General features: G+C 43.3%; 1 protein-coding gene and 1 long non-coding RNA gene across 7 annotated transcripts in view, besides 4 other annotated features; one reads left to right on the top strand and one right to left on the bottom strand.

Annotated features, from left to right (window-relative positions):
* Positions 1-18,846, bottom strand: part of BORCS5 (BLOC-1 related complex subunit 5) — a 114,156-nt gene extending 95,310 nt beyond the window's left edge. For 2 of the 6 annotated variants that reach the window (NM_058169.6, XM_011520553.3), the window contains exons 1-2: positions 18,415-18,846; positions 14,575-14,718 (exon numbers count right to left, since the gene is read on the bottom strand). In NM_058169.6, coding sequence (NP_477517.1) covers positions 14,575-14,718; positions 18,415-18,472 — 202 coding nt within the window. In that variant the 5' untranslated portion in view covers positions 18,473-18,846. Of the gene's footprint in view, positions 1-14,574; positions 14,719-17,485 lie in introns of all 6 variants that reach the window. The other 4 variants (XM_011520551.3, NM_001300742.3, XM_047428271.1 and 1 more) reach the window with 4 other exon arrangements.
* Positions 17,417-17,496: an enhancer, noted in NCBI's record as "active region_6011". NCBI's record gives its function as "activates an Ori minimal core promoter by ATAC-STARR-seq in GM12878 lymphoblastoid cells {active_cell/tissue: GM12878}" and the evidence as "EXISTENCE:reporter gene assay evidence [ECO:0000049][PMID:35858748]".
* Positions 18,383-19,061: an enhancer, noted in NCBI's record as "H3K27ac hESC enhancer chr12:12509797-12510475 (GRCh37/hg19 assembly coordinates)". NCBI's record gives its function as "activates a minimal SCP1, AML or CMV promoter by ChIP-STARR-seq in naive H9 embryonic stem cells {active_cell/tissue: H9 hESC(naive)}" and the evidence as "EXISTENCE:reporter gene assay evidence [ECO:0000049][PMID:30033119]".
* Positions 18,437-18,516: a silencer, noted in NCBI's record as "silent region_4253". NCBI's record gives its function as "represses an Ori minimal core promoter by ATAC-STARR-seq in GM12878 lymphoblastoid cells {active_cell/tissue: GM12878}" and the evidence as "EXISTENCE:reporter gene assay evidence [ECO:0000049][PMID:35858748]".
* On the top strand, positions 18,857-20,516 carry LOH12CR2 (loss of heterozygosity on chromosome 12, region 2). The gene is made up of 2 exons (NR_024061.1): positions 18,857-18,996; positions 19,119-20,516. It is a non-coding gene; the product is annotated as a loss of heterozygosity on chromosome 12, region 2 (long non-coding RNA).
* Positions 21,681-22,116: a transcriptional cis regulatory region, noted in NCBI's record as "candidate enhancer chr12.586 targeted for multiplex CRISPR interference". NCBI's record gives its function as "positively regulates BORCS5 and MANSC1 gene expression with high confidence in K562 cells {active_cell/tissue: K562}" and the evidence as "EXISTENCE:mutant phenotype evidence [ECO:0000015][PMID:30612741]".

Below are 23,926 nucleotides of genomic sequence, written 5' to 3'. Positions count from 1 at the left end.
CTGAGGCAGGAGAATCACTTGAACCCAGGAGGCAGAGGTTGCAGCGAGCTGAGATTGCACCATTGCACTCCAGCCTGGGCTGGACTCCATCTCAAAAACAACAACAACAACAAACAAAAAAAACCATGATTACTAACTTTTGCTGATGATTTTCACCAGTTGGTAGAAGCAAATGATTATCTATCCAAGTGCATTCTTTAAAATGTCACTTTGCATTTCACTGGCTTTCTGTGAAACTGAATTTTGATGGAAAAAATATTTAAACGTTATTAAATACCTATGACTGTGTTGTTGCTGTTGTTTCAGAGACAGGGTCTCACTCTGTTGCCCATGCTGGAGTGCCGTGGTATGACTGGAGCTCACTGAGCCTCAAACTCCTGGAATCAAGAGAGCTTCCCATCTCAGCCTCCTAAGTAGCTGGGATTACCAGCACATGCCACCATGACCAGCTAATTTTCAAATTTTTTGTAGAAATGAGGTCTATGTTGCCCAGGCTGGTCTCAAACTCCTGGCCTCAAGCAATCCTCCTGCCTCAGCTTTCCAAAGTGCTATGATCACAGGCATCAGCCACTGCACCAGGCCAACTATGACAGTTTTAAGATTCCTCTACAGGCCGGACACAGTGGCTCACGCCTATAATCCCAGCACTTTGGGAGGCCGAGGCGGATGGATCACCTGAGGTCAGGAATTTGAGACCAGCTTGGCCAACATGGTAAAACATTGTCTCTATAAAAAAATACAAAAATTAGCCGGGCATGGTGGCAGGCACCTGTAATATCAGCTACTCAGGAGGCTGAGTCAGGAGAACTGCTTCAACCCAGGAGGCAGAGGTTGCAGTGAGCCAAGATGGCGCCATTGCACTCCAGCCTGGGCAACAGAGACTCCAGCTCAAAAGAAAAAGAAAAAGAAAAGAAAAGAAAAGCAGTATATTCCAAATACAAACTTGGTTAATAATTTTTTTTTTTTTTTTTGAGACAGTCTCACTCTGTCACCCAGGCTGGATGCAGTGACGCAATCTCAGCTCACTGCAACCTCTGCCTCCTGCATTCAAACGATTGTCCCACCTCAGCCTCCCCAGTAGCTGATTACAGCTGTGCGCCACCACGCCCGGTTAATTTTTTTGTCTTTAGTGGAGATGGGGTTTCACCATGTTGGCCAGGGTGGTCTCAAACTCCTGACCTCAAGTGATCCACCCACCTCAGCCTCCCAAAGTGCTGGCATTACAGGCATGAACTACAGTGCCCGACCTGGTTAAGAATTCTTTTTGGCATCTTTTATTTTATTTTATTTTATTTGAGACAGGGTCTCATTCTGCCACCCAGGCTGGAGTACAGCGCTATGAACACCGCTCGACCTCCCAGGGTCAAGTGATCCTCCCACTTCAGCCTCCCAAGTAGCTGGGAGTACAGGTGCACACCACCACACCTAGATAAACTTTTTTTTTTTTTTCTGTAGTACAGACAGGGTCTCACCATGTTGTTCAGGCTGGTCTCAAACTTCTGGGCTCAAGTAATCCTCCCACCTCGGCCTCCCAAAGTGCTGGAATTAGAAGCATGAGCCACTGTGACTGGCCAGCATCTTTTAAATATGTTTTAAAATATATATAGAAGACTTTTAAACTAAGAATACCCTTGGCCGGGTGCGGTGGCTCACACCTGCAATCCCAGCACTTTGGGAGGCTGAGGCGGGCGGATCACGAGGTCAGGAGATCGAGACCATCCTGGCTAACACAGTGAAACCCCATCTCTACTAAAAATACAAAAAAAAAATTAGCCAGACGTGGTGGCGGGCACCTGTAGTCCCAGCTACTCGGGAGGCTAAGGCAGGAGAATGGCGTGAACCCGGGAGGCAGAGCTTGCAGTGAGCCGAGATTGCACCACTGCACTCAAGCCTGGGCGACAGAGCGAGACTCCGTCTCAAAAAAAAAAAAAAAAAAAAAAAAGAATACTCTCTGCAACCCTGCCTTCTCTATGTAGCTACCTGCTATTCATCCCTCAAAGCTCAGCTGAATTCTACTTCCTCTAGGAAGCCTGCCCCAAATTCCCAGGCCAAATTAATAATTATCTCCTCCATGTTTATCTACTCTTTGGGACATGTGGCCAGTGTTACTAATATGATATTATTGTGAATACTTACCTGTCTAAATCGCTCACAAAACAATAAGGTCCTAAAGGGCAGCAACTATGTCTTCTATTTTTTGTACCTGCACTGTCTGACCACATCAGGCACTTAGCAGGTGCTTATCAATATGTTGCAGAAATGAATGACCAATTAAAGGCTGTTGGCAGGAGGGTCTTATAAGTAAAATGGAAAAACTGGTATCGGACAGAAAAATATGGATTAAAAAGCATTTTTTTAAGGATTTCTGCCTCTGCACATGAAGGATTAACTGCTATTATGCAATAATAAACAACTAGAAAACCAGACAAAAATATATGAAACACTCATTTCCGATACTGTATAACAGGCAGCACAGGACTTTGATCCCTGAAAGAAGGAAAACAAGCCCTACCATTTTCCCAGCTTATTACCTAAAGGCAGTTTCCAAGAGGCAGACCAGGGAGGTGTCTTGGTCGGTACAGGCTGCTACAACAAGAATACCATAAACTGGATGGCTTAAACAACATACATTTATTTCTCACAGTTCTGGAGGCTGGGAAGTACAAGATTTAGGTGCTAGCACATTGGATATTTGGTGAGGGCACTCTTCCTGGTTTGCAAATGGCTGTCTTCTCCTTGTGTCCTCACATGGCTAAGAACAGAAGGAAGAAGGAACCTCTCTCCCCTCTCTTCTTGTAAGGGCGTGACTCCCATGACATGAGGGCTCCACCCTCATGATCAAATCACTTCCCAAGGCCCCATCTCCTAATACAGCATATTGGGGATTACAATTTCAACCTGTGAATTGGGGGGAGACATAATCATTCAGTCCATAGCAGAATGGACATCAAAAAAAGCCCAGCAGCCTCACTGAGTTAGAGAGAGAGCAAAGTTTGCAGAAACTAAAGTGGGTAGGATTTACACAACAGAATATGGGAGAGAAGGGGGCAGCCTTGAGATCTGCACAGGGTACCCTTAAATCTCTGAAAACATCATCTGTAAATTTGTAAGGTGAAATTCCAGAGACTGGAGAAAACTAGAGAGAAGCAGTAGGCCAAATATTTTCTGAAGAGCTCATGTTCCCATTAGCCACAGTGGAGAGACTTCATAATACATAAGGCAACAGGTAGAGTACTCAGAAGGATTTCACCTTAGTAGTGAGATGAAATTAAACTAGGCAAAGACTGCACTAGATGAGCCCCAACGGTATTTAAAAGAAAACATGGGAAGGGTCCAAATGACTACAAGTAACTTAACCATATGTATATGCCAGAATAAAGTCTGGTATCCTTAAAGGAATAAAATGAAATCCAGGCCAGGTGTGGTGGTGCATGCCTGTAATCCCAACAATTTGGTGGACTGAAGCAGGCGGTTTGCTTGAGCCCAGGGGGGTTGAGGCTGCAGTGAGCCACGGTGGTGCCACTGCACTCTAGCCTGGGCAACAGAGCGAGATCCTGTCTCTAAAAGGAAAAAAAAAATTAGTAAGTAAATTTTAAAAGAAATGCACTCTACTCCCAGCACTTTAGGAAGCCGAGGCAGGTGGATCACCTGAGGTCAGGAGTTCAAGACCAGCCTGGCCAACATGGCGAAACCCCGTCTCTACTAAAAGTACAGAAATTAGCTGGGCATGGTGGCGGGTGGCTGAAATCCCAGCTACTCAGGAGACTAAGGCATGAGAATTGCTTGAACCCTAGAGGCAGAGGTTGCAGTGAGCTGACATCGTGCCATTGCACTCCAGCCTGGGCGACAAGGGCGAAACTCCCTCTTAAAAATAAAATTAAAATAAAATTGAAGTACTCATACGTTCAAAAAGTAGAGGAAAACATAAGCATGATAAGCAGAGAGATCAAAGACATTTAAGGGGGAGAATCTAAAGCTGAAAAATACCAGCATCTGAAATTAAGAACACCTTGGATGAGATTAAAAGCAGTACAGACATGACAGAAAAAAAGACCACTGAACATGGAAACACAGCAGTAAAAATTATCCAAAGTAAGGACAGAAAGGAAAAGACTAAAAATAAAAATTGAAAGGTGTGTCAGTGATGTGTAAGAAAATATCAAGCGGTCTAACATCGAATTGGCGTCCCACAAAAAGCAGGTGGGGGGAGCAGAAAAATATTGGAAGACATAATGACCAAAGTTTTCGATTAAAAGTACAAACCTGCAGATCAAAGAACATAGAGAACATATTAGTGTGAACTTGTCATTTTCAATATATAGAAAATATAGGCCAGGCATGGTGGCTCATGCCTGCAATCCCAGCACTTTGGGAGGCTGAGGCAGGTGGATCGCTTGTGCCCAGGAGTTTGAGACTAGCCTAGGCAACATTGGGAAACCCCATCTCTACAAAAAATACAAAAAGATTAGTTGGGCGTGGTGGCACGCAGAGTAGTCCCAGCTGCTCAGGAGGCTGAGGTAGGAGGATTCCTTGAGCCCAGGAGGTCAAAGCTGCAGTGAGCCGTGATTGTGCCACTGCACTCCAGCCAGGGTGAAAGGGCAAGATCGTGTTGCCAAATACACGAACATATAAAAAATAAACATAGGTGTAAATGTGTGGGTGTGTATCTATGGATTCCCTAGCTAAATCTTCTGAGAAGGTCCAGAAATGGATTCTAAATAAGACCCTTCACTAAAAGAACCAGGGTTCCTTTAAGAAATACCCGATTCTAGAGCTGGAGACATGGAAGAACAAAATAAGTCTGGAACATTATATTGTGCCAGAAAATAAAGACATTTTCAAAGTATAAGGGGAATATGTTAAAAGGACACAGTAGGCCAGGCGCAGTGGCTCACGCCTGTAATCCCAGCACTTTGGGAGGCCGAGGTGGGCGGATCACAAGGTCAGGAGATCGAGACCACCCTGGCTAACACAGTGAAATCCCGTCTCTGCTAAAAATACAGAAAAATTAGCTGGGCATGATGGTGGGCGCCTGTAGTCCCAGCTACTCGGCAGGCTGAGGCAGGAGAATGGCGTGAACCCAGGAGGCAGAGCTTGCAGTGAGCCAAGATCGCACCACTGCACTCCAGCCTGGGCCACAGAGCGAGACTCCATCTCCAAAAAAAAAAGGACACAGGAAGTTAGATTGAAGATGCTGTCACTGGCCAATTTTGGAACATTTTGAGATTGAAAAAGAAATAATGATAATAACAGATTACATACAACTCATTGGATAAAATAGGAGCTGACTGTTCCCGCACTGATTTGAATAAATAAATGGGGAGATGAGAAACCTATTCCTTCCAATAGAATATAAACTAATAAATGTAGAAGGAATGAAAAATTTAGAAAACAGTTATTTGGTAGCCATCACAGCATAATTAATTCAAGCAAGAATCATCAATAGATATTATAACTGATGAAATAAAGGTAGATTAAAAAATGAGATTTCATGGAGTCTCACAATATGTCTTCAAAAACTTAGTAATTACACCAAAAAATGACTTTATAACAAAAGTGGGCAAAAAAAAGTTCAGATAGATAAAAACAGGACTTTTTTCCAGCTGACCTGTACTGCAAGATATGCTAAAAGAAGTCCTTTAAACTAAAAATAAATGACATCAAATGGAAACTGGAGAAAGGGATTAGGAATTCTGGAAATGTTAACTATGTGGGTAAACATCACATTCTATATATAGTTATTTTCTTCTCTTAATCACTTCAAAAAATATATTATTAAAACAAAAACGTGTGTGTGTGTGTGTGTGTGTGTGTGTGTGTGTGTATAAAACCACTATGGGATTTCTAACGTATGTAGATGCAATATATATGAAAGCAATAGCACAAAGAAGTGAAGGTGGGCCGGGCGTGGTGGCTCATGCCTGTAATTCCAGCATTTTGGGAGGCTGAGGCAGGCAGATCAACTGAGGTCAGGAGTTCGAGACCAGCCTGACCAACATGGTGACACCCCATCTCTACTAAAAATAAAAAAATTAGACAGGCATGGTGACGCACACCTGTAGTCCCAGCTACTCGGGAGGCTGAGGCACAAGAATCACTTGAACTGGAGAGGCAGAGGTTGTAGTGAGCTGAGATTGTGCCAGTGCACTCCCTCCTGGGCCACAGAGCAAGACTTTTTCTCAAAAAAAAAAAAAAAAAAAAAAAAAAAAAAGAAGTGGGGGGTGAATGAAACCACACCATTGAAAGTTTCCTACATTTTACATGAAGTGATACAATAGTAATTCTAAATGAACTATAATAAATATCAAGACTATATTGTAACCTCTAGAGCAACCACTAAAAAAATAATGCAAAGGAGTATAACTTAAAGAGCCAGAAAAGAAACTAAAATGGAATACATACTAAAAAAAAATTTTTGTAATGCAAGGAAGCAGGAAAGGAGTATGAAAGTAACCAAAAGCACACAGCACAAATAGAAAATGAAGAGCAAAATGGGAGACCTAAATCCAACCATATCAATTTACACACCAATTAAAAAGCAGACGATAGCCTAAATACAAAAGCAAGACCCTACTATATGCTGTCTACAAGAGATGCCCTTTAAATATAAAGACATAAATCGATAAAAATAAGTAAAGAATAGTAAAAGGTATACTATGCAAATAGTAAGTGTAAGAAAGCTGGAGTGGCTATATTGATAGAAAACAAATTAGACTACAAGACAGGGGTAATAACACATAGGTAGCACATTTTCATAAAGACGGAAGGATCAATATAATAATATTTAATGCATATATGCCTAATAATAGACTTTCAAAACACACAAAGTAGAAACCAATGGAATAACCAGAATAGACAAATTAACAAAAATAGCTGGATATTTGAATACCTCTCTTTCATTAAGTGATCAAATTAATGAAATAAATCAATATGCACACACAAGATTTGAACATCACCATTTCTTGACCTAAGTGATATTTATAGAACACTATACCCATTAACTACAGAACACATTCTTTTCAAGTGTACACTACTTGCCTAAGAAGATCCAGTGTTTGTTGAATAAATAAAATGAATAAATACATAATACACAAGTGGAAGATGGAATACGCTGAATTTAAAGCGACTGTATAGACAAACAGAGCAAGATGATGGACAAACAGAACAAGGAGTTGAAGCTGGCCAGGTGCAGTGGGTCACACCTGTAATCTCAGTGCTCTGGGAGGCCAGGATGGGAGGTCTGCTTGAGCCCAGGGCTTGAGACCAGCTTGGACAACAGAGTGACACCCCATCTCTAAATTAAAAAAAAAAAAAAAATTAGCCAGGTGTGGTACATCTGTGGTCCCAGCTCCTTGGGAGGCTGAGGTTGGAAGATCATTTGTGCCCGGGAGGTCAAGGCTGCAGTGAGCTATGATTGTGCCACTGCACTCCAGCCTGGATGACAGATCAAGACCCCATCTCAAAAAAAAGAAGAAGGAAAAGAAAAAAAAGTTGAAGTTGATGACAGAGACTTAAAATCATCTTAATGGCTACATTTCAGAATACTTAAAGCGCCTTAGAATCTTGTTTTTCCAAAAGAGCACTAGGCAAAATGCTGTGCAGAGAGGAATAGAGACTAACCAGTAGATTAAAAAAAAAAAAACAAAACAGAATACCACTGGGTGGGGAGGTATCATAAACTAAAGGAAGGGAGTTTTAACAAGTGGGATAGAAACCTATGTTAAATACGGAAAAGAAGAGGAGGATGTGGACTGAGAAAAAAACTTCAAGCATGAAAAGAAAACACTAGTAATCCTCCAAAGCAGCAAATATGGATGAAGTTATGTATATGAGAGCCTGTCCAGGGGAACTTCCCAAATGGCAGAGGTATCAAGGAAGCAGGGACAGCATGTAGCACCCATGGAGTCAGTAAGTTTGGCAGCAGAAATGAGAACAGAGAAAGCGTGGTAGCCAAGAGGGCAACTGAATTGAAAGAAAGTGTTCGTCTTCTGTTTTTAAGATGGGAAGAGCTGTATATCTGAACAAGAGGAAAGAGGTCCACTAAGCTAGTTGCGAGACAAAAAGAGAAAAGGACAGGAGCAAAGTCCCAGCAAATGGAAAGAGTGAAACAGAATGGCATTAAGTTTCAGAGAAAGGCATGAATACCTCATCTGAGACTTAATGGAAAGAAACAAGAATGGATGCAGGCACACAGAGATTTATGGGAGTAAGGGAAAAGATGAGGGTGTTCTGGTGAGACAGCTTCACTTTCTCAATCGGTTGAAAGCAACCATTCACCTGGTACTTCCCACTCTTCTGAGTAAGGCTAACCCAATGCTGGTAAACAGCTATGTTTATTTTTGTTTTTGTTTTTACACACAACTCACACTTCTCTGAATAGCCATGTTTAAAAGCTTAACTGAAGAGCTATTACAAATACAAACCCATAAAGTAATCAGGAATAAGTCATCAATCTTTCCAATATGGTATTTGGGAGAAAATATACTTAGGATTACCCCTGGGTTTAGAGATTACCTTTAAGCCATTCAGAGAAGACTGTGGCTCTGATTAAGATCCATTCTCTTGTCCCCTCCTTTGGCTGCCATTTTCCAATGCAATGATAAGGTCTGACAGCTGGTAGAGGCAGACATCTGATGAATGCAAAGACTTTTATTTGTCCAGATGACAGAAGAATGTGAAGAAACTGGTCATTTGAAATCTAGCTCCATCATGCTCTCCTTATCGCCCTTTTTCCATTGCTTCATTCTTCCCTAGCTACACTTTCAGGTTCCAGTTCTCAATGTTCCATGTGATTTGAAAGCTTTCACTGCTGTTCCATGAGATTTCGCTCCACTATGAAAAGCCCCAGGCTCCTTTTAATTATCAAAATCTACTTCACATGCATCATGTTCTTAACAACCAAACACCAAACTCCCAACAAAGCTGCTTAGTATCACTTCAGTATCTACACTGTATATGTTTGATCATCCTTGTTATTAACAAAAACAGCCCCTTCCATAGGCAGCAATACAATCTCTTACGTTGTATCCAAGGTCAGTAACAAAAATGACAGATCGGTTGGAAAGAATGTCACATGCATGCATGTGTGTAAATATGCACATATTCATCTACTAAGAGTGAATAATTATTTTTGTAACTTTATATATAAAACACCAACCATATTACTTTTCTCTTGCAAATATTTCATTTCTTTAGAATGACATACAATAGAGTGGGATTCATTAAAAAATATGAGTGGTTGAATTTCAAGTAAGAAATCTATACAGGGTTTGTTAACTTCTTGGAATCTTGCTAACTTACATCAAATCTACTATTTTGCCTTTGTGTTCTGTCACAGCCATTTGTAGCTACTTTCTAATTTTCTAATCTTTCATTTCCTATAAAATGCTTTACATGTCAAAATAAATTACTAATTCAGACATTGCTATGAAAAACAGAAATCCCTTTGATAAAAAAAGGAACAGATATTTGGATTATGGAGCATAAATTATACTCTGGTATATTTATGCAAAAGGGTTAAGGCCAAAGAAAGAATCTGCTTGCTTATTAAAAATGCAAACATTACCTCAGTCATACAAATAGCCCCAAACTCGCCCAGCCACTGCCTCTGCAGATCACCCACCAGCATTAGCATTACATCATATGACATTATGAAACAATAGTGAACTCTGTGTAATACTTCAATATATTGTTTTGAAAGAATAAACTGTCATTAAGTTGAATAAAAGCTTTCTGAAATCAAACCTGGGGGGTACAGGCTTCACTGTGTGGCCTTTTTACTATTTTGAGGAATGGCCTCATCCTGAAAGCAGGAAAGGGGGAAAAAAGAGTCAGAGTATAAAGGCGACAGTGATGCCTGGCCCCTGCAGCAGCCCAGCAGGCAGAGGGTAGGGCTTTTAATTATCAGGCAGAACAACGTCAAAGCAGGAGGCTCTGCAACAAATGCTGCACCTCAAAACCCAAACAACCTCATACCCACCACGCTAGTTCCTGTATATCCTAGTGATTTCTATAATGGGCTTTGCTAGAATTGGAAACTAAGTCTTATTCTATGTCCTGATGCAATCTTAAAATGTGCTATCACTTACAGCCATGTGACTTTAGGCAATTAATTTAAGCTCTCTAGGCCTCAATATTTTAATCTATAAAAACAGAAAGAACAATAGCTATTATGTAGAAGCATGGGGGATAAGATACTATTATCATAATTAAACTTATCATTTCCACCCCCTTTGCCTATCTTTCCTAATCACGGCCCAAGATGTTTCGTCTTCACAAGTGAAACATGAGCATCACCTTCAATGCTCACTGGCTTTTTGTTTGCTATAGTCTGGCCACAGCCACATGTTGTCATTTCTAGATTCACGCCACTCTCATCAAGTGGGGGTTGGGGTGGGGGGGATGAATTATACAAACTATTTTCTATAGTATTTTTTGAAACTCGGGCCGGGCATGGTGGCTCATGCCTGTAGTCTCAGCACTTTGGGAGGCTAAGGTGGGAGGAGCACTGGAGTCCAGGAGCTCAAGACCAACATGGGCAACATAGTGAAACCCTGTCTCTACAAAAAAAAAAAAAAATGTATTTTAATTAGCCGGGTGTGGTGGTGCACACTGTAGTCCCAGCTACTCTGGAAGCTGAGATGGGTGGATCGCTTGAGCCCAGGAGGTGGAGGCTGGAGTGAGCCATGATCTCATCTCTACCTTCCTTAACCAAATCCCCGATAACCTCTTCCTATAATCTGCTCCTTACTAGCCTTCCTCCTTCCTCACCTATTCTCAATGTTCTTAATAACCAAGGCTCAAAAAGGTGGAAAAACAAAGCCAGACAACATAATAGTTGGTGGCAAAGTCCCAGTTAAAACTCATTTATCAATGCAACCAGGTCCAGTTGCATTGCATTAACTGCATCACATTAATTATTCACTTTCAGGGCACTCAGTGATGATTTATTTATTTTGAGACAGAGTCTTGCTCTGTTGCCCAGATTGGAGTGCAGTGATGCAATCTTGGCTCACTGCAACCTCCACCTCTAGGGCTCAAGTGATACTCCCACCTCAGCCTCCTGAGTAGCTGGAACTACAGGTGCCCACCACCATGCCCGGCTAAGTTTTGTATCTTTTGTAGAGACAGGGTTTTGCCATGTTGGCCAGGCTAGTCTCAAACTCCTGTGCTCAGGTGATCCAACCGCCTTGGCCTTCCAAAGTGCTAGGATTACAGGCGTGAGCCACCATGGCCAGCCCTCAGTGATGACTTCAAATCTGAGGTTAGCTTCCCTTAACACCAAGTCTTCTAGATATTTCCCCTACTAGTGATTAATCATAAAACGAATTACAGCTGACCCTTGAACAACAACATGGGTCTGAACCACGTGGGTCCACTTATACGTAGATTTTCTTCTGCCTCTGCCACCCCTAAGACAGCAAAACTAACCCCTCCTTTTCCTCCTTCTCGGCCTACTCAACGTGAAGACAATGATGAAGATCTTTCTGATGATCTACTTCCACTTAATGAATAGTTAATATACTTTCTCTTCCTTATATTTTTCTTTGAGACCAAGTCTCACTCTGTCACCCAGGCTGGAGTGCAGTGGCATGATCTTGGCTCACTGCAACCTCTGCCTCCCGGGTTCAAGCGATTCTTGTGCCTCAGCCTCCCAAGTAGCTGGGACTACAGCTGCACGCCACCACACCCAACTAATTTTTGTATTTTTAGTAGAGATGGGGTGTCACCATGGTGGCCAGGCTGATCTCGAATTCCTGACCTGAAGTGATCCATCCTCCTCGGCCTCCCAAAGTACTAGGATTACAGGCATGAGCCACTGTGCCTGGCCTTCCTTATAATTTTCTTAATACATTTTCTTTTCTCTAGTTTACTTTATTGTAATAATATAGTATATAATAACATATAACACAAAAGATGTGTTAATCAACTGTTTATGCTATCAGTAAGGCCTCTAGTAAACAGAAGGCTATTAGTAGTTAAGTTTTGGCTAAGTTGAAAGTTATATGCAGATATTTTTTTTTTTTCTGAGATGGAGTTTCACTGTTGTTGCCCAAGCTGGAATGAAGTGGTAGTCTCAGCTCACTGCAACCTCCATCTCCTGGTTCTAGCAATTCTCCTGCCTCAGCCTCCTGAGTAGCTGGGTTTACAGGTGCACACCACCACACCCAGCTAATTTTTTTTTTTTGAGATGGAGTCTTGCTCTGTCACCCAGGCTGGAGTGCAGTGGCACAATCTTGGCTCAATGCAAGCTCTGCCTCCCAGGTTCATGCCATTCTCCTACCTCACCCTCCCAAGTAGCTGGGACTACAGGCACCCGCCACCACACCCGGCTAATTTTTTTTGTACTTTCAGTAGAGACAGGGTTTCACCGTGTTAGCCAGGATGGTCTCGATCTCCTGACCTCATGATCCACCCGCCTTGGCCTCCCAAAGTGCTGTTTTACAGGCGTAAGCCACTGCGCCCGGCCTAATTTTTTGTATTTTTAGTAGAAATGGGGTTTCACCATGTTGGCCAGGCTGGTATTGATCTCCTAACCTCAGGTGATCCACCCACCTCGGCCTCCCAAAGTGCTGGGATTATAGGCATGAGCCGCAGCGCCTGGCCGGCTTTTTTTTTTTTTCTTTTGAGGCAGGATCTCACTCTGTCACCTAGGCTGAAGTGTACTGACATGACTACTGCTCACTGCACCCTTGACCTCCTGGGCTCAAGCGATCCTTCTACAACAGCTTCCCAACTAGCTGGGACGACAGGTATGTGCCACCATGCCTGGCTAATTTTTTGTATTATCTGTTGAGACAGAGTCTCATTGTGTTGCCCAGGCTGGTCTTGAACTGTTGGACTCAAGTGATCCTCCTGCCTCAGCCACCCAAAGTGCTGGAATTACAGGTGTGAGCCACCATGCCCTACTATTGTTAACTTCTTTAGAGAATCACATTATTCCTCAAAATCATGAAAACTAAGAAGATGAGTAGGCCATGCAAGGTGCCTCACGCCTGTAATCCCAGCACTTTGGGAGGCCGAGGTGGGTGGATCACCTGAGGTCAGGAGTTCGAGACCAGCCTGGCCAACATGGTGAAACCCCATCTCAACTAAAAATAATAATAATAAAAACATTTAGCTTGGCGTGGTGGCAGGCATCTGTAATCACAGCTACTTCAGGAGGCTGAGGCAGGAGAATCACTTGAACCTGGGAGGTGGAGGTTGCAGTAAGCCAAGATCAAGCCATTGCACTCCAGCCTGGGTGACAGAGCAAAACTCTAAAAAAAAAAAAAAAAAAAAAAAAAAGATGAGTAACATGATATAATGTGTTGTTTTACATAAGAGCCAGAATGTTTACCAAAGTCTAACTCTCAGGCCTGTAGGGAAGAAATTGATTAGGAGATATACCTAATGTGAATGACGAGTTAATGGGTGCAGCACACCAACATAGCATATGTATACATATGTAACAAACCTGCATGTTGTGCACATGTACACTAAAACTTAAATAATAATAAAAAAGAAACTGAAAGCTTGTATTTCCTTATTTATGAAACAGATGAAGCACTGGTAAGAATAAGACAATATATGGATCATCTATAAAGCACCATTTGTTTTTGTTTTCTAAATAGTGTGGAACAGTGTAATATAGGATTTGACATCAATGAAGAAGGTTCAAGTACAACCTCTGTGTATGCCAGCTGCCTTATAAAAGGCTTATAAGAAGCTTATCTTACCCCAATCATTGAAACACATTTAATGATGTAAGAATTAAAGGGATGATATGTGTATGAGGAGGGGCATTTTAATTCAAATAGCTATGTAAATGTAAGATGTTTTACACTGTATTATACCAAGTTAAGTAAACCAGGGCCTTATGTTCATTATTTCCTAATCTTTGGTGGGGGTGAGGGAGGAGAGAACTGAAGGACTCTTACAGCAGAAACACCAGTTAATATAAAATAATCTCCACTACTTAATAGAGATACAAAAATAATAAAGTTGTGGCCTTCGTTCAAAAGGTAACTACCACAGTATATGCTAATTGGGTGGGTAATCTCTCTTCTCAAACACACACTCTCATATAAAACTGCCGCCAGGATTAATTACGAGTGTATCAGTAGTGATGGAGATTTTTCTCTATGGATCTGAACTAGTCCACCCACTGTCCAGATCACAAATAAGAATGAAAATCTTTCCATGGGAATATAACAGGGAAGGGCCATTTCCAACCTCATTCATTCACTTAGTCCCTATCTTATACCAGATTATATTTCACGTGCTGGGAATTCAACAGTGAGCAAAAGAGAAAATACCTGCCATCATGGAGCTCACATTCTAGCAGAGAAATATAGACAGATAAAGATATTTGCAATAGGTCAATGATAATTAAGTGCTATAGAGAAAAACAGGTAGGCAAAGGGGCTGCAGTTTTAATTAAGGAAATCAAGAAAGGCTTCACTGAGAAGATGCCATTTAAGCAAAGACCTAAAGGAGATGAGAGAGCAAGATACATGGATAAGTAGAGGGAAAGTAGTAGGGCTACACAAACGTCTCCAGCAAGTTCAGATAAAACAAAACGCAATCCTTTACCTTTCAAAAGGGGCTGGAAGGTTGGAATCTCTTGCAACTTGATGACATCGGGATCGTTGCTGACGTTCCGTGAGGCCTGGGAGCCCTGAGCTACAACCACAATATCATCCATCTTGGCTCTATGCTTGGCTGGTGAAGGAGTCACTGAAAATAAAGTTACACTGCTTAGGAGATGCATATTAGGCATCTCTGCCTCACCAAAGCAGTTTTTGGTGTAGTGATTAAAAAGAATAATTTTATAAAATGTAGCTATCTTGCAGTTGGGGTTGGGGTGGCAGGGATGAATTATAGAAACTGTTTTCTATAGTATTTTTAAAAGCTCAGGCTGGAGCCAGGCACGGTGGCTCATGCATGTAATCTTAGCACTTTGGGAAGCCGAGGTGGGCAGATCACCTGAGGTCAGCAGTTCAAGACCAGCCTGGCCAACATGGCGAAACCCTGTCTCTACTAAAAACACAAAAATTAGCGGGGCATGGTGGCGGGTGCCTGTAATCCCAGCTACTCAGGAGGCTGAGGCAGGAGAATCACTTGAGCCCGAGAGGCGGAGGTTGCGGTGTGCCAAGATCGTGCCACTGCACTTGAGCCTGGGCAACAGAGTGAGACTCTGTCTCAAAAACAAACAAACAAAAACGCCACCTCAGGCTGGGTGTGGTGGCTCATGCCTGTAATCTCAGCACTTTGAAAGGCTGAGTGGGAGGATCACCAGAGTCCAGGAGTTCAAGACCAACCTGGGCAACATAGTGAGACCCTATCTCTAAAAAAAAAAAAAAAAAAAAAAAAAATTTCTTTTAATTAGTCAGATGTGGTGGTGCACACTGTAGTCCCAGCTACTCAGGAAGCTGAGATGGGAGGATCACTTGAGCCCAGGAGGTCAAGACCACAGTGAGCCATGATCACACCACTGCATGGGTAAGACAGCAAGAGTCTCAAAAAACAAAACAACAACAACAACAAAAACCCTCAGACATTACAGGATTTTATTTTATTTTGAGGCAGAGCCTCGCTCTGTCGCCAGGTTGGAGTACAGTGGTGCAATCTCGGCTCACTGCAACCTCCGCCTCCTGGGTTCAAGTAATTCTCTTGCCTCAGCTTCCTGAGTAGCTAGGACAACAGGCATGCACCACCACATCTGGCTAATTTTTGTATTTTTAGTAGAGATGGGGTTTCACCATATTGGCCAGGCTGGTCTCGAACTCCTGACCTCGTGATCCACCCACCTCGGCCTCCCAAAGTGCTAGAATTACGGGTGTGAGCCATCACGCCCAGCCCATTACAGGATTATATAACATGAATGAACTTCTTTCATAACTAAATATTTTCTTTTTCAGCACACAAAAGTATAGGCAGATTGTTTTTACTTTCTCTTTAATTCTCCTGCTATCTTGAGATATATATATATATCTCCCTATTTCTAAAATGAGAAATAAAGGGTACAAAATTTAACTGTGACTTGCCCAAAGTCAGCAGTGCTAGACAGTTAGGAAAGGAATTAGACATCTACAAGTTATTGGTACACAAGGCCCATCTCTGCGACACTGGAGTTGCAAAGCTGTCTATCCACCCTACCACATCAAGCCAGCTATGTTTAGTAAGTCCAGGAAAAAAACCTGTTCTCAACCCCCGAATGACTGGCCTATTCCCGAGGCTTCAGCCTCCTCACTCTTTTTTTTTTTTTTTTAAGTCAAGGCGGCTGGGCACGGTGGCTCACGCCTGTAATCCCAGCACTTTGGGAGGCCAAGCCAGGTGGATCACTTGAGGTCAGGAGTTCGAGATCAGCCTGGCCAACATGGTGAAACCCTATCTCTACTAAAAATACAAAAATTATCCAGGCGTGGTGGCATGTCCCTGTAATCCCAGCTACTTGGGAGGCTGAGGCAGGAAAATTGCTTGAATCCGGGAGGCGGAGGTTGCAGTGAGCCAAGATCATGCCACAGCACTCCAGCCTAGGTGACAGTGAGACTGTCTCAAAAAAAAAAAAAAAAAAAGAGTCAAGTCTCACTACATCGCCCAGGCTGGATTTAAACTCCTGGGCTCCAGCAATCCTCCCACCTGGGCCTGAGTAGCTAGGACTACAGCCCCCTCACTCTTAAAATTATAGCATTAGTCCAGGGCAAAAATAGCCAGTAAGTCCATTCTAGGCTGAGGCAAAAATCAGAAATTTGGAGGACAAAGAGGGAGATCAATTCAGGTTCCTTGGGAGAAAGTAATCCATTTGGAGGGAAGTGATTCAAATTATAAAGGACTCCCTAGACCAAGAAATCATCCTCTCCCCCAAATATCTTCCAGACTGGGACAAGAATGAATCTTTAAAGTGTTTTATGCTCTAGAAGGTAATATTCCCAGGCTCATTATAGTCATATCTCAAAGGTTAATCCAGGGATGCCATAGAACTGTTCTGCCTCCTAGAAGCTCGTCTCCGGAGGCTTGGCATTCACTCTTCTAGAAAAATCTCTGCTGCTTTTATTTCTTTTCAAGAAATATTTATTTACCTGTTTTGGTAATTTACCTAACATTTTACAAAAGCCATGCCAGAAATCTTTCCTGCTATAAATTGTGATTCCTCCTTCCCCAGATACCAGAGGAAAGGGGACTTCAAAACACTCTAGCTAACCTCTACTACTTTATCTGTAAAATGGGATTACTGCAAAAATTATATGTAAATGTATGTAAAGTACCGGGCACAGGGGAATAGGCAAATTCTAACATCGGAAATGCTCGAATGCTGTTGGTTCATGGGCAAGAAAACAAATTAAAAAGATGCCACACCGCTTCCCCCTAAAATATGTTTCTGCCCTGCCATAGAGGCAAGAATGTCAAAGGTGGCAATTATTATATTTCTTATAACAGATATGACACTCTGGCCCTTCCAAGGAAATAGAAAAACGTAGCAAAGCTAGTAGATGCTGCTCACCATTCAAAGCTGCCCCAATCCAGTCCCCAGAATGTAGGTCTGAACTAGTCTTGAAAGTCACACCTTAAAGTGAAACACCCTTAGATCTATTAGCTTGCCTATTTCTGAATTACAGCTCCTATCAAGAACAGAGAACTTCTAAAATCGGCGACTCTTTTTAGGCCCCAGATTTAACCAATTTGCGTTAGCAACCCCGGAGCTTAACCAAAGCACTCCCAGCTGTCCTAGCGTGTGGGTAACAAAAAAAGCAGCAAATGGTCCTCAATTAAACATCAGCTGCTTTATCTATTTATTGAACACTCACTGTATTGCAAACACAATAATCCTCCCATTCTTGTCTCAAACGCTTAGAGAAGTCTAAAAATCATGGACAGAGAACAACAATGGAAAACACCAGTGCCTGCTGTCTGGCCAACCTCTACAAGATTAGAAAACGGACCAAGACACCTTCTGAGAAGAAAAAGCTGTTTCTGGAGACCTTTGCACTAAAGGGTTCAAAGCAAGTGGACACCTATCACATATCCCTTCAGAAAAGGAACCTCTAACACCCGTTTTTAAGAAACAGACTGTTCTTAGAGGTCCTATAATCCATCCACTGTGTGAGCCAAATCTCACTACATCAGCCATGAGCACTAGAGCCAAAAATTAATTAGCTCGTCTTTTAAACAGGAGGCTGTAGCTGGGAGAAACGGCTGTTTTGAAAATAAATAAGGGCACTGGCGCCCACGCTGGCTTAGCTTGCAGTCACACGCACTTCCATCAGGGGAATCGAGGCCAGGACAGATGGTGACTTTTTTTTTTTCCTACTAGCACGGTGAAGGCTTTTTCTGTGCGTTCCCGTCCGCAGTCCCTGACCCTAGTCTGGGAGGCAGCCCGCTCTGCAAGGGGACAGGGCGGGCTGGAGGAGGGTGGGAGGTTAGGACACCGACCTGAGGAGTTCAGATCGTTGGGTCGGCTCTCGGCCTCGGAGCTCTGCTCACTGCCCATGGTGCCGACAGCGGTGGCAGCAGAAGAACGGCGGGCCGGGCGGTCACCGCTCCGGCGGCGGGCGACAGGGCAGGGGCCAGGGACCGGGACGGGGAGGCAAAGCAGAGTCTGGGCGCCGCAGCGAGGCTAATGTGTGGGGCTGACGCGTCCAGCCCACGCAGGGGCCTGGGCGGCGGGAGAAGGAGAGGCCCTATTTGGGGAACAGAAACGCAAGGAGGCGCGGCGCGAACGCACGCGGCTAGCCCTCCTTCTTTCCGGGAGCCCTAAGAGAACCGGCAGATGACACTGGCTTTGCCGCACCTGCGGCCGGCGGGCGGCGCCGCTTTCACTCACTGGTTCACGCTCCGCAAGCTCGCTCCTTCCGGGACGCAGATGGGCGGTGCCGGCTACGCAAGACCTTCAGTTCCGGATTAGGAGGCCCCGCCCCCCGGCCCGAGGGAGGGGCGGAGAGACCCGCTCCTGCGACTTAGGGCGATGCCACCTTAAAGGGCTTGACCTCCTCGAAGCCAGAACTGCGGAAGAGGGTAAGCCCTTTCCTGTTGTAAGGATGCGTCACCTTTAAAACACCACCCACACTATTAAGCTCTTCAATACCCACATGTGAGAACAACTTTACAAAATAGGTATTTTTAACCCTGTTTTACAGATGGAGAAAGAAACGCTAGATAGACCCAGGATTCGAACCCACAACAGCTTGGATGCAAAGCTCATTTTGAATTCTGAAGAGCTGGGAGTTTAGCAGTGGACGACCAAACAAAAAAATACCAGAAGACGGTGAAAGCAGCAGCTGGAAATGAGAGAAAAATTAAGAAATAGAAAATGCTGTTTCATGTATTAGGGAGTGCACATCTTTAAAGAGAAGTGAAGAACCTTTTTGGCTAGGCGCTTTCTGGGGACCTTGGCAGTTATCAACAAGTCACTCTGAAACTAACAGAAGGTGAGGAGGGAGTAATCCAGAAAGGAAACTGCCATTTTTGCTAGGGCAAGAAAGTAGACCTAGCAATGCAATGCCATCAAGGAGTTAGCTGGCTCTAGCGTTCTCCGAACTTTGCAACTCATTTTATATTACATTGTCTGCGTCAAGAAATTTCAAGTAAATGCCTTGAGATTTTATATGTATAAAATGTAGTCTCTGGCCAGGCGGGGTGGCTCACGCCTGTAATCCCAGCACTTTGGGAGGCTGAGGCGAGTAGATCACGATGTCAGGAGATCAAGACCATCCTGGCTAACATGGTGAAACCCCGTCTCTACTAAAAAATACAAAAAATTAGCCGGGCATGATGGTGGGCGCCTGTAGTCCCAGCTACTCGGGAGGCTGAGACAGGAGAATGGTGTGAACCCGGGAGGCAGAGCTTGCAGTGAGCCGAGATCGCGCCACTGCACTCCAGCCTGGGCGACAGAGCGAGACTCCGTCTCAAAAAAAAAAAAAAAAAAAAAAGTCTCAGAAGAAGTGTCAAGTTGACTAAATGATTTTTAAGTCCCTTCCACTCTACTATATCACAATAATTTCCCCTATTTTACCTTATTTAATTTTCACAACAACCCTGCAGCCTGTAAGTAGGTGACTCCTCCATGGTCAGCAGGTGGTCAGTGGTCGAACTATTTAGGACTATCTGATGCTCTTTCCTCTGCTCACCATTGCAATACAATGAGAAAAATGCAAATGAATCTAAGTACAGTGTTCTCTGGGAATATGAAGATAGAACTAAAAACTGCCTGAGAGATCAGGGCAGGCTTCTAGAAAGTTGTGTCTAACTAGTCTTGAGGTTTACATAAACCACACCAGGCTGATGGGACTGGGAAGGGCCCACTAAGCAGTGAGACCATTCCCTTTTGGAGAGTCCTTGCATCCCCTCCCAGATTTCCTCTTTGAGGGGAAGGTGAGAGAGGAGGTAAAAGGGGTGAGGAATGGAGAATAACTCATTCTGGTTCTTGTTTCCCCTTTTCCACATAAAAGTATATTTGTCTTGTGTTCCATACACCAGTCCATACTGATGTGATGGTGTTTTTTATGCTTCCTTTTGAATAAACATTTCATTCTTAAAAGGATAGTCTGTCGCATCAACTGATGAATGGATAAATAAAGTGTGGTAATCATGGAATATTTATTCAGCCAAAATGAGGGAAGGATGAAATCATACTGATACATGCTACAACATAGAGTAACCTTGACAACATTATTCAATATGAAAAAGGCCTGTCAGGCCGGGTGCGGTGGCTCACGCCTGTAATCCCAGCACTTTGGGAGGCCGAGGCGGGCGGATCACGGGGTCAGGAGATTGAGACCATCCTGGCTGACAAACTGAAATCCTGTCTCTACTAAAAATACAAAAAAAATTAGCCGGGCGTGGTGGCGGGCGCCTGTATTTCCAGCTACTCAGGAGGCTGAGGCAGGAGAATCGCTTGAACCCAGAAGGCGGAGCTTGCAGTGAGCAGAGATCGCACCACTGCACTCCAGCCTGGGCGACAGAGCGAAGACTCCGTCTCAAAAAAAAAAAAAACAAAGCGTATCACAAAAGACCACATATTGTAGATTTCATTTATATGAAATGTCCAGGAGAAGCACTACAGAGAGAGAAATATGTTAGTGTTGCCTAAGGCCGAGGAGGGGTACGGGTGGAAGGGAAATGTAGACTATTATTGGGTATGGGGTTTCTTTCTGGGGTTGATGAAAATGTTCTAAAATTGTAATGATGAATGCACAACTCTGAATATATTAAAAACCACTGTAGAGTACACTTTACCAGGGTAAATTGTATGGTATACAAATTCCATATCCATAAAGCTATATTCAGTAAAAGAACATATGAAGATAAAATTCCTTCCTTCACTGGCTTAACATTTCTTGGGAACCTGAAATGTTCTAGGCACTTGCTACACGTTAAAAATAAAAAATTCAACAAGGCCCAATCCCTGTACTTAGGAAGCTTACAGTCTGGTGGCAAGAAAATTAAATGAGCATTTATATAACATAAGGAGTCTGCTGGAAGAGCTTTATAGCTAGGAAACATTTCAGATTGATGTCTTTTAGCACCTTTAAAATCCCTTCTACATGAGCAGCAAACTGTGTTATTGTATATGTAATAACTAGCAATTGAACAGCCTTTTTGAGTTTACAGGTCTGCAGGTCTATATGTTAGACCTGCATAAAAAGGTCTATATTATGACCTGCGTGTAAAGTAGATACCACTTTCCTAATTTTACAGAAAAGTTAAGTGATTTATTCTTGGTCACACAACTAGTGAGTGATAAAACCAGGATTCACGTTTTCAAAACTCATCATGCCTCTGTCCACTCCAGACTGACTCCTCTTCCCGTGTCTTTATATGACCTGGTACTCCCACCCAACCAGGCTCCCAAGCCAGAAGCCTGCTTACTGTCAGCACTGCATCCAACCAATCGTTGTGTCCTGGAGAGCCTCTCCTCTTAATTTCTCCTCTATCTGCATGCCCATTTCAGGGCCTTATCACTTCCGTTTCTTGGAAGAGAGGCCTCTGGCCTCACGTCCCTCAATCCATCCCTCCTGTGGCAGGTAGAGATAATTTTCTAGAATATTAATTAGGTCTCTGGACCTGTCACTGCCCTACAAAAAGCCTTCAGGAACTCCCCATGCCTTTAGGATAAAGTTTAAGATTTAACATATGAAAACCTTCCTGCTCTGACCCCAGCCTCTCTCTCTATTCTTCTGTGTACACTGGTAACCTTCCTAACAGGCTGAATTTCCTGTGGTCATGCAGTTTCCTATTCCTGAAATATTCAGCCTTTTCCTCCTCATCTGCTAATAACTTCATTCTTCAATAATTAACACCTCTTCCCAGAAATTGGGATCAGATGTCCCTTCTCTGAGCCTTTTTAGTTGCCATCTTCTATCATAACATTTATTCTTTTCTTGGGGAGGGCAGGGACAGGGTCTCACTCTGTTGCCCAGGCTGGAGTGCAGTGATGCTATCATGGCTCACTACAGCCTCCTAAGAGCCTCCTAGGCTCTTAGGAGATCCTCCTGTCTCAGCCTCCCAAGTAGCTGAAACTACAGACGTGTACCACCACACCATGCTAATTTTTATTTTTTGTAGAGATGGAGTCTTGCTATGCTGCTCAGGCTGGCCTCAAACTCCTGGGCTTAAGTGATCCTCCTGCCTTGGCTTCCCAAAGCACTGGAATTACAGGCATGAGCCACTACACCTGGCCTTCATCACACTTAACTGTTTACACAGCCATTGATTTACTTTTTCTCCTTCTGAACTATGAACATCTTAAAGGTAGATCTCATTGGTATTACTGGTCTTTAGTTTCCCCTGCAGGTGCTTAATACATGTTTTTTTTTTTGTTTGTTTGTTTGTTTGTTTGTTTGTTTTTTGAGACAGAGTCTCACTCTTTCACCCAGGCTGGAGTGCAGTGGCTCGATCTCGGCTCACTACAAGCTCCACCTCCTGGGTTCACACCATTCTTCTGCCTCAGCCTCCCCAATAGCTGGGACTACAGGCGCGCGCCACCATACCCAGCTAATTTTTTGTATTTTTATTAGAGACAGGGTTTCACCATGTTAGCCAGGATGGTCTCGATCTCCTGACCTCGTGATCCACCCGCCTCGGCCTCCCAAAGTGCTGGGATTACAGGCGTGAGCCACTGCGCCTGGCTGCTTAATACATGTTTTCCGATTACTTTTAAAGAAATCTTTCTCCACATAGATGGGACTTCTAACCCTCAGAGAAGAGTGTCAAGAATCTCTTCAGGAAATGAAGTGACAATGGATATAATTTCTAAGTTATGACTCAGGCCAGAAATTAAAGTTTTTATTTTATTTTTAAGTAAGCCAAGTGCAGTGGCTCACACCTGTAATCCCAGCACTTTGGGAGGCCAAAGCAGGAGGATTGCTTGAGCCCAGGAGTTTGAGACTAGCCTGGGCAATGTAGCAAGACCTCATCTATACAAATAATTTAAAACACCGGGTACGGTGGGTCACGCCTATAATCCCAGCACTTTGGGAGGCCAAGGTGGGCAGATCACTTGATGTCAGGAGTTCAAGACCAGCCTGACCAACATGGTGAAACCCCGACTCTACTAAAAATACAAAAATTAGCTGGGCATGGTGGCATGAGCCTGTAATCTCAGCTACTCAGGAGACTGAAGCAGGAGAATTGCTTGAACCTGGGAGGCAGAAGTTGCAGTGAGCTGAGATCGTGCCACTGCACTCCAGCCTGGGCAACAGAGCGAGACTCCATCTCAAAATTAAAAAAAAAAAAAAAATTAAGAACATTAGCTGGGTGTGGTGTGCGTTTGTGGTCCCAGCTACTCAAGAGACTGAGGCAAAAGAATCACTTGAGCCCAGGTGGTCAAAGCTGCAGTGAGTCGTGATTGTGCCATTGCACTCCAGTGTGGGCAACAGAGCGAGACCCTGTCTAAAAAAATGAATAAATAAACAATGATATTTATAAATTAAACATATATAATAGA

This window comes from Homo sapiens, chromosome 12, assembly GCF_000001405.40.
Source record: "Homo sapiens chromosome 12, GRCh38.p14 Primary Assembly".
NCBI classification, from domain to species: domain Eukaryota; kingdom Metazoa; phylum Chordata; class Mammalia; order Primates; family Hominidae; genus Homo; species Homo sapiens.
This window is presented reverse-complemented; position numbering and strand designations above follow the sequence as displayed.